This window comes from Homo sapiens, chromosome 5 (assembly GCF_000001405.40).
Source record: "Homo sapiens chromosome 5, GRCh38.p14 Primary Assembly".
Taxonomy (NCBI): Eukaryota; Metazoa; Chordata; class Mammalia; order Primates; family Hominidae; genus Homo; species Homo sapiens.
The window spans coordinates 67108866-67123064 of NC_000005.10; the positions used below are offsets into that span (position 1 = coordinate 67108866).

The 14199-nt window shown below is 37.9% G+C and overlaps 1 protein-coding gene across 28 annotated transcripts in view; it reads left to right on the top strand.

The window, feature by feature from the left end:
- The window catches only part of MAST4 (microtubule associated serine/threonine kinase family member 4), a 573201-nt gene that overhangs the window by 512473 nt on the left and 46529 nt on the right, over nucleotides 1-14199 (top strand). For all 28 annotated transcript variants that reach the window (XM_024446044.2, XM_047417157.1, XM_047417158.1 and 25 more), the window contains 4 exons: nucleotides 1233-1334; nucleotides 5222-5354; nucleotides 9817-9884; nucleotides 12152-12237. In XM_024446044.2, coding sequence (XP_024301812.1) covers nucleotides 1233-1334; nucleotides 5222-5354; nucleotides 9817-9884; nucleotides 12152-12237 — 389 coding nt within the window. The remainder of the gene's footprint in view (nucleotides 1-1232; nucleotides 1335-5221; nucleotides 5355-9816; nucleotides 9885-12151; nucleotides 12238-14199) is intronic.

Consider the following 14199-nt stretch of genomic DNA (forward strand, 5'->3'; position numbering starts at 1 on the left):
TTTATTACTGTGTTTGTGAAATTATATTGTACCAGCATCACAATGAAATGTTATTTTTTAATCCTTAGAGGAAAGTAAATCATAAAAACAAAGATTAAGAGAGCCTAAAAGTGAACATACAGAGAAGTTTATGTTAAAACCTCTAAAACTTGTTTTATGCCTATCTTGATACAGATTCATCTGATTTTTTTCAAGAAAATATTATTGAAAATTTAAATGACTATTAACAAACAGTTTTGCTCTCAGAATATTTGTTGTGCTTGGGCAATATATAAAATAAAATTTTAAAAGATTTTAAGTTAAATTTTACTAAGTTAGGTGCCTAGGTATTATTTATTCAATGTGTGAAACTGGATTCACATTTATATACCCAGGTATAGGTTGAGCATTCAAATTCCAAAATGCTCCAGAATATGAAACTTTTAAAGCACCAACATGATAACACAAGTGGAAATTCTCATACCTGACCTCATGTGATGAGTGCACAAAGTTCTTCAAAAATATTCTATAAATTTACCTTCAGGCTCTGTGTATTAGGTGTACATGAAACATAAATGAATTTTTATGATGAGACTTCGATCCCCTCCTCAAGATATCTCATTATGTATATGCAAATATTCTAAAATTTGAAAAAAAATCCAAAAGACTTGTGGTCCCAAGCATTTTGGATAAAGGATACCCAACTGGTATATACTTTATCCAGCTAACACTTGAAAAAAGCATTGCACACTTCTTACGTGTGATAATATAACTAATTTATAGGCGAATCATATTGGATATATGAAATATACTTCAATAATGTGTTAAGTGTCCAGGATAAAAGCAGCCCTTCACTTTCTTAGCCATTTCTTATGTCTAAGATGGTCTTAACTGGAAAATCAAGGTTCTTGATCAGCTTCCCACTCTACTTGTACCGTGTGCTTAATGTGTCATAAACTTTTAATGTCTCCTTCATTCATGGTTCACATCAAGCGCCCTTTGATTTTTAGCACAGATAATATATCAGAATTTTGCAATTAAGGTTTAGCTAATAGAAAGATTTTGTAGATATAGGCGTTTAATAGTGTCCATTTATATACAGATAATGTCTGTTTATCAATCTTTTAATAGCATTTTCTAAATTACTCGATTTTTGAACATTTGCAATGATCTAATTAGCATGCTTTGCTGATTTTCTTTTCCATTTAATGGAACAACTCTGCATCATCACTCTCTTTATTGCTTTTTCATAGGCTCATGATCGTTCAGAAAGTGGAGAATTGGCATTTATTAAACAACTAGTTCGAAAGATCCTAATTGTTATTGCCCGCCCTGCTCGGTTATTAGAGTGCCTGGTAAGTTGCCCCTTGATGTGACTACATTATTTATTGTTAACTGGGAAAGCAGTTACCATCAGAAAGCTCCTTCATTTGGTTTCCAGCACCAGAGCTAAATGGAAAGAGTCAAAGGGAATTACAACTTGTGAACGTTTATGATGATGTCGATATGTGACTTGTCCTTTCTGATTTTAAAGAGACTTCTAGGACTTTTGCTCTATTAAGTGATGGTCATACCATATTCTAGTCAAACTTGAAATATAATCATAAAATAATGTACTTGACCTTATCTCAGCATAATTACTTTATGTCACAGCTAGTTTAAAACCCTGGCTGTACCACACTTTTTTGGAATTGCCAAGATGCAGAGAAGAAATAGAGATAAATGCAGAGATAAATAGTGACCTGTGATTTATAATTATTGTTTGTTTTAAAATGTGGCAAGTTAGAAAATAAGATGCTAACCATCCCATTTGGGAAAATACAGTAGAGCCTCATGCAGACCTGAAGGAATGAGACTTTTATAGATGATTAGTTCATGTTAACAATTATCTGTTTTTGGCTGGATGTGGTGGCTCACGCCTGTAACCCCAGCACTTTGGGAGGCCGAGACAGGCAGATCACCTGAGGTCAGGAGTTCCAGACCAGCCTGGCCAACATGGTGACACTTGGTCTCTACTAAAAATACAAAAAGTAGCCAGGTGTGGTGGTGCACGCCTGTAATCCCAGCTACTTGGGAGGCTGAGGCAGGAGAAGTGCTTGAACCCAGGAGGCGGAGGTTGCAATGAGCTGAGATTGCACCACTGCACTCCAGCCTGAGTGACAGAATGAGATTTCGTCTCAAAAAATAAAAAAAATTAAAATTAAAATTATATGTTTTTGGCCAGTGATCATTCTCCTATTTAAAAGTTTTTGTTTTATGAAATTTTGATTTGAGGTTTCAGTTAAAACTGTGAACAAATATTTGTCTGTGAACATTATAATTATTTTAAGGATCTAGTAATATAGCATCAAAACTCACTTTAAAGTTCCACTGGTTATTAAAGTAATTATAACATCACATACAATACAGCTTTTCAGAAATACACACATACATACATACATAATACATACATGGTTGCAGTGCTTTGGTCTTGCCCTTATTTTAACTACCATCCATAATAATTTATAATAGTGAAATATTCGCAGCACCATAAATACGTACTAGTGCCTTGTAAGACATAGAGGGAAAATCTTGAGGAGAAAGGTAGGGAGTTGGGAGGTGTAGGGAAGGGCTTTCTATCAATGGTGAGGACCCTTAGAATCATAGAATCAAACACACCATTTGGCATTGAGTGTCTCTGGAAGGCTAAAAGGAAAAAAAAATCTTGGATGCCTCAGAGAGAACTGGGTGACTGATAAATCCAGGTAGAATGGTTAGTTAACTTTTTACTGCCTCTCCTGTTGTAGCTTTTGAATTATGGACCACATGTTTGTACTTCCCACAATTGTTTAATTTAGGGGAAAGTGTCATTTAGCATTAAAACCTGTTTTTCTGGACAACAGCAGATATACTAAGAGCAGATCTTGCTTTAAAGGAGGAAATTAACTTTTTACAGTAATCACTCATAATCGGAGGAGAAAAAGTATAGCTTCTCAAAGATAGAAACAAGTGAACTTACAAGTAGCTTGGAAATATTGCTGCTTTCAAAGTACTCTTTAAAGCTTAGATGAAACTGGAGTTTCATAGTATTAGGGGATGCTTCCCCCAACCTATCACCTTATCCTTACAGTACCCAGGCTTGCTCTGTCAGTCATTGTAGTAGGTATGTTTGTAAAGGCTCTGAGTATTTACATTGGTTTGACTTTACTCCACTTGCAGCAAGTTTTTTTTTTTTTCTTTCTATATGGCCTTTAAAAACTCCTGAGTAATTCTCAGGTGAAATGCTGAGATTCCAAAGTTGCCTATTTTGGGCATTAACCAAAATGGGAAATATCCAGGAAATATATCTGAAATTAATAACTGGGCTTTAAGTCAATAAGCATAATTGTTTACAACACATAAATCCATGGCATCCCTTTGGGCATAGAGGAAAAACCAAACTCGGTTTCTCCTGCTGTGCTCTCACAACATGATTCTGACACCAGTTATGTGGGAACCCCACACAACAAGCAAGCAAGCCTTTCTGCAGCAGACACCAGCTGGGTGTCCTCCAATTCCATTCCAACACTGTCTACGCAGAGATAGCATTAGATTCCACAGGTTGAGGGGTCAATTCCACAAGAGTGCCCCTACTTCCAATGCCAGTCGCAAGCTCCATATGGTTTTACCTGTGCCTCTCACCGTCTGGCTGTAAACCAAGGTTCTTATGACCCCTTCTCTGGGTTTGATTAGTTTGCTAGAGTGGTTCACAGAACTCAGGGAAACACTGAAGTTTACCAGTTTATTATGAAATACACTAAAAACTATACAGATGATGAGATGCATAGGGTGAAGCATGAGGAAAGGAGTGCAAAGCTCCCTGGCTGCACTGCCTTCCAGGAAACTCCACACGTTCAGCTATCCAGAAGCTCCCCAAGTGCAGTCTTTTTGGGTTTTTATGGAAGCTTCATTACATAGGCATGTTTGATGACATCATTGGCCATTGGTGATCCACTTAACCTTCAGCCCCTGTCTGAAGTGGAGATGAGGATGGGGCTGCAACTCCCAACCCTGTCATCATATGGTAGGTTCCCCTGACAACAAGCTCTCTTCCAGAGGCTACCCAGGAGTGCCCAGCCACCAGTCAACTCACTAGAATACAAAAAGCCACTTATTACTTTGGAGATTCCAAGGGTTTCAGGAGTGGTATTTCAAAAAACAGGGATGAAGGCCAGGTGTGGTGGCTCACGCCTGTAATCCCAGCACTTTGGGAGGCCAAGGTGGGTGGATCACGAGGTCAGGAGATCGAGACCATCCTGGCTAACTCGGTGAAACCCTGTCTCTACTAAAAAATACAAAAAATTAGCCGGGCGTGGTGGTGGGCGCCTGTAGTCCCAGCTACTAGGGGGGCTGAGGCAGGAGAATGTCGTGAACCTGGGAGGCGGAGCTTGCAGTGAGCCGAGATCGCACCACTGCACTCCAGCCTGGGCGACAGAGCGAGACTCCGTCTCAAAAAAAAAAAAAAAAAAAAAAAAAGGATGAAGACCAAAAATACATTTGACAGTATCATAACATCCATCTAGAGTGTGGTGATCCTGAAGATTTTTATTACACACTAGACGCAAGAGGCAGCCACATACACACAAAAAATTAAATAGATAGGAAAAATATATTCCCAAAGTTTTATAGGAGACAGAGGCTTTAATTTCCTATTTTTCTTTCTTGTTCTTTACTTTATGTGAATAGTAGTAACTTAATATTATAGTTAACTAATAAAAAATGGTAACGTTGAAGTTTTTCTTTCTAATGTTTTTGGATACGTCTATATTAAGAGAGTCTCCTGCAACATTTTTGAGTAAATATATTCTAACATTCCTTTTGTTGCTGGTTGAGTGGAGAGAGAAATTGAATCTCAAATCTTCTGGATGGAAATTCCCAGATTTTACAACTTTGCTAGAAAGGCACAATTAAAAATCAGATCTGTTCATTGCCGACGAGCGAGATCTTAAGTGGAGCATAGTACCTTCGTAGTTACATTACAAGCAAATTGGAAATGATCATTATCTTTGGGTTACCATGTGCATAAATGTGTTGGCTTAGAATATGAATAGGCTTCAAATATGAAGTGAGAATTACATACTTTTTAAAGCCATTTGCCTCCTTTCTGCATAAGTAACTTACAGCCATGTATACCCAGCAGTTATATTGTGAATGGGATTTATGTAATAAAACCTCAGACAATTTTGGCTCAAAGAAGTATCCATCTGTGATTGTCTTCGGCTAGGAATTTGATCCGGAAGAATTTTACTACCTATTGGAAGCAGCAGAAGGCCATGCCAAAGAAGGACAGGGTATTAAAACCGACATTCCCAGGTACATCATTAGCCAACTGGGACTCAATAAGGATCCCTTGGAAGGTGAGTCCCTGGGTTGTTCCTACCTTTGACTTTGCTTATGCACTGTCGCCTCATAGAAGAAATCTAAGTGGCAAGTCTTTATTTTTCCTCATGTTTTGGCTCTATCTATTGATAAGTCCATATTTGGGGACTGGTTGCTATTTGAAGGAAATAGCCATAAAATGGGTCCTGAGACACGAATGAGCATGACCCATTTTGTGTCTACCTAGAGCGTGGGTCAGGCCTTGACATCCTAGAAGCATGTCAGCCTGAGAATGCCAGAGTGTCCCAGAAGGGTTGCAATTTCAGTCTTCACTGAGTAGTTTTTCTCTTGCAGAGCTCAGTTGGGCTCTTGAGAGTACTTCTAATTTTTAAAATGTTGCTAAAGAAATTATCATTAATTAAACTGACATTTAAATTTAATTTGGAAGTAATGCAATTGATGGTAGATTACTTTAAATTGAGTACAGTATTCATAGGTATATTCTTGTTTACTTAAAATATAAAACATAGTAATATACAGGAGAGAAAAAAGAAATTTTTTTTAAGCTTATAAAAGGATTTATGGGCTGGGCGCAGTGGCTCACGCCTGTAATCCCAGCACTTTGGGAGGCCGAGGTGAGTGGATCACGAGGTCAGGAGTTCCAGACCAGCCTGGCCAATATGGTGAAACCCTGTCTCTACTAAAAATGCAGAAATTAGCTGGGCATGGTGATGTGCACCTGTAGTCCAAGCTACTCGGGAGGTTGAGGCAGAAGAATCGCTTGAACCCAGGAGGTGGAGGTTGCAGTGAACCGAGATCGCACCACTGCACTCCAGCCTGGGCGACAGAGTGAAACTCCGACTCAAAAAAAAAAAAAAAAAAAAGATTTATGGTTTATTCACATTTTAAAATAATATTATCAAATTAAATACAGAGAATAGGAAGCATCTTGTCAGTGAACTTTTAAAAATCTGATATTGGTAAACCACTCCCCCTACAACCTGTTCCTGTTCATGATTGTTTAGGATTATTATTTATAACATTTAGGTTATATACTCCCCAAAAAGACTCAAAAACTATCCTTGACTCCTTCATTCAAAATTGTCTTCTCGGTTCATTAAATTGTATTTGCAAACAGTGTTTATCTTGTTAAATTGTTTGTAATGGTGGTAAATGTTGGCACAGAGATTTTCCCATCTGAAGCCAGGGAACCTGCTGCTCTCTGCCCTGCTCTCCTGTTTCCCGGCTTTGTTTGCTCCTATGGCCATCGTATCTTTGCTTCCAGTGAAATGATGCATGCATTACTGTGAGATAATGCCAGATAAATTTATACTGTACTGAAAGCAGTTCCACAACAGATTCATCACTTATCAGAGACTGGTGGCTGCTTTTCTGAAAAGTTCCCTGGGGAGAGATTTTTCCCCATGGCTTTTAAATTACCATCTTTACCTTTTTGAATCATGAGTCTTCAGAAATGGTTTAAATCAGTGAAATAAAAAGGGCAGATGTTTAATGGTATTTAGATGAGTTTTAAAAATCACTTCAGGCATTACAAAATGATGCCTTAGCTTCCTGCTTCAAAAGCTGACTCTTGGTTCCATTCCATTACTACCCACTGCTTACAAATAATATGTATTTTTCAGATAATAGTTGTTTAGCAGAAATTCTATTTAAAACAGAACCATCTTTTAATTTGTTTTTTTTTTTATGAAAATAGTTGGAATGGGGGAGGCTGTCAAAGTAGATTATAGCGACTCTTCACGCTGGTATAGTTAAGATTGCGTCAGCTCTTGAATTGTGGACCCAGTGAGTTCTTTAGTTTTCTTACCTGGCAATCACTGTAGGCTGAACTTTGGTAGGGGAATAATCTGAGGCCCATGTATAAACTAGCTTTCTAGAGGCTCTGAAGAAAACATGAACAGTGATCTTTGACAAGTTTGGAGTTTAATCACTGGGAGTTGTGTTTTTAACTCTTGACAATTTAAGATCTAAGGCTAGTTTTGTTTGTTTGTTTGTTTGTTTGTTTGTTTTGTTTTGTTTTGGAGATGAAGACTTGCTTCGTTGCCCAGGCTGGAGTGTAGTGGCATGATCTCGGCTCACTGCAACCTCCGTCTCCTCAGTTCAAGTGATTCTCCTGCCTCAGCCTCCCGAGTATCTGGGATTACAGACGTGTGTCACCATGCTCAGCTAATTTTTGTATTTTTAGTAGAGATAAGGTTTCACCATGTTGGCCAGGCTGGTCTTGAACTCCTAACCTCAGGTGATCTGTCTGCCTCGGCCTCCCAAAGTGCTGGGATTACAGGCGTGAGCCACCGCACCTGGCCTTGAGGCTAGTTTTTAATCTATTTGTTAACATTTGAAATATGACTTCTCCAGGTAATTTAATAAACAAATTGCACCGCGCTGAGTGGATCACCTGAGGTCAGGAGTTCGAGAGCAGCCTGGCCAACATGGTGAAACCTTATCTCTACTAAAAATACAAAAATTAGCTGGGCATGGTGGCACACACCTGTAGTCCCAGCTACTTGGGAGGCTGAGGCAGGAGAATCGCTCGAACCCAGGAGGCAGAGGTTGCAGTGAGCCGAGATGGCGCCATTGCACTACAGTCTGAGCGACAGAACAAGACTCCATCTCAAGAAATAAAAAATAAATGATTACAGACTCTGATTGTTCTACATTTGTTTCCCTTTCTTGTCAGCGTCTAAACTAACATACCTTAGACTTGTCCTTTGAAGGTTAGGAATTGGGAGTTCTGGAGCTGGGCTGCCAGGTTGTCACCCTAAGCCAGCACTGCATGCTGTGTGAACCTTGACCATCCAAATTGACGCACCTCTTTGTGCCTCAGTTACTTCCATAAAAATGAGATAATAATAGTATCTATTTATAGAATTGTTTTGAGGATTCTATGTTTATCTTTGTAATTGCTTAACATAGTGTTTAACAGATGTTAGCTGCTGTTGCTGTTTTATTTAAATACTACTAATTTTTGCCCCTTTCCTTGAGATCCCTTCCAACTAGATGCATTTTAGTTCACCTCCAAGTCCATAAATCTAAGATGCTAGTCATATTGGATATTGACATCATTTGAATGAGACGAAGAAAGGACATAGTTTGTGCTAAGCTCCTTTTTATTCTGGAATTTCCCCTATAGGTAAACTGAGAAAGTTATTGGCAATGTCGTTATTCCAGAATCTAGAATTTATACATTTTTATCTAAAGGTAGTAATCCAGTGTTGTTTTGCTTCATATCTCTTAGGCATAATGTCTGCCCAGAAGGGATTATCACATTTATAAGAACATGAATACATAAAATAAGAAACTAAGAAATAATTTTTTAATTATTTAATTTTAAATAAAATTAAGTTTTTTAAAATTGAAAATTTTAAATATATTTAGATGCACACAAAAATATGTAACTAAAAACTATGACTTTTATTATGCATGTTCAATTTTGAAAAATTGGAAAGTACAAGTAAAAGAAGAAAATATTAATTATCTGTGATCCTATCACTCAGATAAGACCTATCATAGATTTAGAGAAAATTATTTCATGTTTTTTAAATAAAACATGATTTTTTTAAAGTATAAAAAAGAAAATGAACAATAAAAGAATTTGATTGTCTCATCTACTTCTATAAATTCAAGGATGCCTTCCAATGTGAATTGATCAATTTAGACACCTTTGTCTCTTTTAACTAAATAGTCAGGGTAGTACTTAAAGCTGGTGTCAAGCATGTGAGCATGTGATATCCAATCCAAGACTGATTATACAATATGATTAATAATAAATAATCAACATTTAATGAGCACTTAATTTTTGTTAGTATGCTAAGAGCTTTACATGCATTATCACATACAGTACAAAAAACTCTAAGAAATAAGTAAGGTTGTTTACCTTTTACAGGGAAGAGCTTGAAGTTAAAAGGTCAGTCAGTCAGTAAGTGCAGATAGTAGTGGTAACCTAAGTCTTTTAATCTCCAAATCCCTCTTAACCACCATTATTACTTCCTCTCTGACAAATTACAAATTCTTAATGTCTCTGGCAGGGTATTTCTCAGTAGATATGAAGGAATGGAACACGAGATATGCACCACAACTTAAGAATCATTCCCTAGTTGTTGTCGGTGCTGCTTTGATGCCCGCCAGAGCCTGGAAAGATGTGCCTCTCTCAGATACCTGATTCTAAGCAGAGTTGTTGACCCACCGAAGCCTTTCCAAGCTGTGGTGATTGCATCAGCCAATGAGTTCCTATGCCCAGCCTCTAAAGTTCCTATGTCTAGGTGTTTGCAAGAAATGGAGTTCTGGGGAGGAGTGTGTAGTGAACAATTTCAAAATACCAATTGCTGCCTTTTTTTAGATTTAAGATTTTCCCATGGGCACATTGGAGTATAGAGCAATTTTTTTAATATGGGAGAAACTATTTTTCTTTTGTTTCAGCTTAGTATTCTTATCCAATTGCAATATTTTTATTAAGCTTAACTTTTTTTTTTTCCAACTTAGAAATGGCTCATTTGGGAAACTACGATAGTGGGACAGCAGAAACACCAGAAACAGATGAATCAGTGAGTGTAAGTATATTTCTTGATGAAATATGATGTTGGTTTTTCTGTTTAGCATCTGGAGACTTTGGCTATGTTAGTTTATTTGTTCAACAAATGTTTATTGTGCTTCTATGTGAATATATGAATAAGAATATGGATAAGATCTATGAAGAAAAAAGACCATGTGCTACCATTACGTAAAGATATTTGCCATAGTCTGTCCAGTCCCAGAAGATTTCCCAAGGAAATGGCACTTGAGCTAAATGTAACAGATTACTAGGGTAAGAAGGGGCAAAAGGAACATTCCAGACACAGGCTACATCAGAGGACTAAGCAAGGGAGACAGCAGAAACTAGAGCACTTGAGTAAAAGCTGGATGCTTAGGTCCCTGTTGTTCATGTTTATCAGGTTTTTTGTTTTTGTTTTTTAAGAGCAATGGGAAATGACTGAACTTTGGAGGAGGTGTATGGGTATATGAGGGTGGGAGGAGTGGACAGGGAGATAACCCAGTCAGAGTTATGGCTTGAAAAAAAATCACACTGACTGCAGTGCAGAAAGCAATGGGCTGGGAGGAGGAGGGAAGGGTGACCATGTGGAAGCCAGTTCAGAGGCTCCTGCCGTGGCACAGGTGAGAGGCCCTGGATGCTGGTGCCATTCTCCTCAATTGTGAACACCAAAAGAGGAACCAGGATGCATCAGAGTAGGGGTTAGGAAAGCAGGAGCAGTCTGTGTAGCCTGGGGGATAAGAACCCAGGCTCTGGAGTCAGGTTGCCTAGATTTGAAAACACTCTGCTTTCTACCAGCTGGGGGGTGGGGGAAATTTCTCTGTGCCTCGGTTTCCCTGTTTGTAAAAGATTAAATGAGATTTTTATGTAAAACGGTTGGGACAGTATCACATAGTAAGTGCTAAATAAATGATAGCTGTTTTCTTTTATTATCTGACTCATAATTTTGAATGTATTGAGACTAAAGTTCCTTTGAAACATTAAAGAAGATCCATCAAACTGGCAACTGTATATAAGGTCTGATATCTTCTGGCACTCAGAGGGAGAGTTTCTGGTGGAGGTGGAAGTGACTTAGGAGTCATCCATGAACATAAATGAGATCACTCGTGTAGGGAAGAGTTAATGAGATTAGAGAGCCTTGGACAGAGCCTTGCAGCCCAAACCCATGAAAGAGCAGTAATAGTGAGTGAATTACCTTCTGAGGCAGTGCAAAGTAGATAAGAAAACAAAAAATAAAAAAAGAATAAAATAATTAAAAGAGTAATAGTGAGTGACTAAACAAGTAAGTGGTCCCAGTCTCGAAGTCTGTTTTCTGTGATGGAGCATTGGCAGGTGATGACTAAATAGATCCAGATCTTAGGGCCAGAGGCCAAAGGGGAGCAGAGGAAACAGATGGTTCAAGTTGAAGAGGTCAAGTAGCCTGGAGGCCAGTGTTGGGTGGGTTATCTGTGTAGACACTGAAGTCACCCTGGATGATGAGAGAGCTCTTGGGCAAAGAGGAAGGTGGGTAGCCAAGTTTTTCAAAGATGAGTGGGATGACAGGGTCAGTGATGACAGCCCTGAGTTGAGGATGATGGTGCCCACACAGGGTTTCTTCCAAAACAATAGGAAGGGAATTCTGGACTCTTGCAGAGGGGAGCAAAGAGCTGGTAACTCCCTCTCCATGCTAAGATAAATGGGGCATGAGAGAATTTTTTTAAAGCATTTTTTTCTATTCCCATCCTTTGAGCTAAACTTTTTAAAGAGCTGTCTTTTTGAAACTTGTTTTGTAAGCCATGTTAGATTTCTGGCATGGAAGTAAAGAAAGGCAGGCATTCTGTACTTGGGTGTTGCATGTGTTGCCTACTGCTTTTCTGAGCAATGAAGATTGCCACAGGAATGAAAGAGACATGCTCTGTCAGGGATAGAGCCCCATGTAGAGCCACTCCGGCCCATTCTTTTTTGGCTGACAGAAACCAAAAGGAAAGCTTGGCATTTTGGAGTTAAATTCCAAAATGTTAAAAGACTAGGACAAGGCCAACCTGAGTAGTTTACAAAAGGAAATTAATATCAGGAATTGTCCTTGATTGCCTGGAAGTGTGGATTCGCTTAAGTGACAGTGTCACAAGGAGTTTGTCAGCATTGCTGTGGATGATGGCTCTGTAAAGCTATCCCTCAGGTTCCTGTGGCTGGAATACTGTACTTCAACATATTACATAACAGCATGTCCTTCAAATATTATCTATTTTGCTGATAAAATAATTTTCTTAAATCTAAACTACTTTTTAACTTCCATATTTTGTTTCCAAGAGCTCTAATGCCTCCCTGAAACTTCGAAGGAAACCTCGGGAAAGTGATTTTGAAACGATTAAATTGATTAGCAATGGAGCCTATGGGTGAGTAATTCAAGAAAAGCTCTCTATTGTATTTCTACACACTCAAGTGATATATTTATTCTTAACATTTATCTAAGGCCAAATAGAAGCTGTATAGGGACTTGACTTTTCAGATCACTGCTCCTTTCCTGAGGCTTGTACTGTGCAGCCAAAATCACTTCTTACTGGACACCTCATCAGAAAACATGCCAAGTGACCAAGGAGTTACTTTAGAGGGTTGGAGAGAAAGATTTTCAAGGAAAAATTTTATTTACCCTTGTTTCTGCCTCCTTCATTTTTGCCCTTTTGGGTTAAAAGAAATACCTGACTCTTGATTGAAATATATATGTATATATTAAATACTATCATATATAATCATATATTTATAATTTTCTATATAGTATTACTACATGAAAATTAGCCTGTATTTCATGTGTGACCAGCAGACAACCTTAAGATAAATGTCTTTAAATAAGTCTGGTTGAAGATTTAGAGCAGGAGTGTCCAGTCGTTTGTCTTCCCTGGGCCACACTGGGAGAAGAACTGTCTCGGGCCACACATAAAATACATTAACACGAACAACAGCTGATGACCTGAAAAAAAAAAAAATCACAAAAAACTCATAATATTTTCAGCAAGTTTACAAATTTGTGTTGGTCTGCATTCAAAGCCATCCTGGGTTGCATGCAGCTCACAGGCTGCGGGTTGGATAAGTGTGATTTAGAGCAATATATGTGTTTTGGTCTTTATTACACCAGGATTTTGTTTTTGTTTTTTTAAAAATTTAATTTTTTTTTTTTGAGACTAGGTCTTGCCCTGTCCCTCAGGCTGGAGTGCAGTGGTGCAATCATAGCTCACTCACTGCAGCCTTTAACTCCTACACCAGGATTTTCAAAATTGAACTGTATCCTAAATAATCTAATGATATTAATGGTGTTCCTTCCTTGATCCCTTTTTGTAGACACATAATTTTCTCCTTGTGGCAGTAAACAGTGACAAGATTCTTCTGAGTTACTAATAGTTTAGAAGGGTAATTAATGCACAAACTATGACCTGATCCATTTTCGACAGCCCAAGAATTCTAGTTTAATTAAATATTAATCCCAATTCTATTTGTATATAAAGAGCAATAAACAATCTCATTCACATTTATTGCCATTTATCACACATGAGCAGATGAAACAAAAGAAGTTTTTGTTGTGCCACAAGGGATGTTTCTGTTACCATTTTTTCACCTTGAATATTTTCCACACCATTAACTTAAGAACTTAAATATTTGTGAGTCCCTTCTATGCTTCACTGATTTGTTTTCAGGATATGTCAAATGCCATATTTCCTATTGTGGCTTATAAATGCTTTCTGATGTTGTATTTTTGCAATATTTTATTTTTCAAGGACCTCATTGAAACTTTTCTACCTAGGAAGATGGTTCTAGCATGCAATTGTTTGTGGTTTCTACTTGCTTATCGTTTGTTTTTTAGTTCTTTACACTTTTGGAAATGACCTGAAGATTTCTTTCTTCATTAGGGAGAAGATTAAACTTTGATTTAATGGGTGTATGGGTTTGAGCACTGCTAGTTTTTATTAGCAGTGGAATTCTGGAATAAGATTATCTGTGAAGCACGACTTTTAAAAATTTGGGCATATATCTTAGCAGTATTTGGAGTTCTAACTGGTTGAGTAAACTCATTTGTAGTGCAATTAAACCACTGTATAGTAGATGAGGTATATCACACTTTGGGGAATAGTTGGGAATATACAAGAAGTTAAACAAGCTGTGAATCAGTAAACACCCAGGATGCAGGCCAAGTCATTAATGGACTCACAAGCTGCCTGTGGGAGTCTCTGCTGATCAGCCAAAACTCTTTTTTTCTTTTTCTCTTCTCAGATTTAATCTCTCATTATATTTCTGATAGATTTTCTCAACGTTTTAATAATCTTTAATTTGAAATTTGAATAGAACCACCCCCATTGGTTCACCCA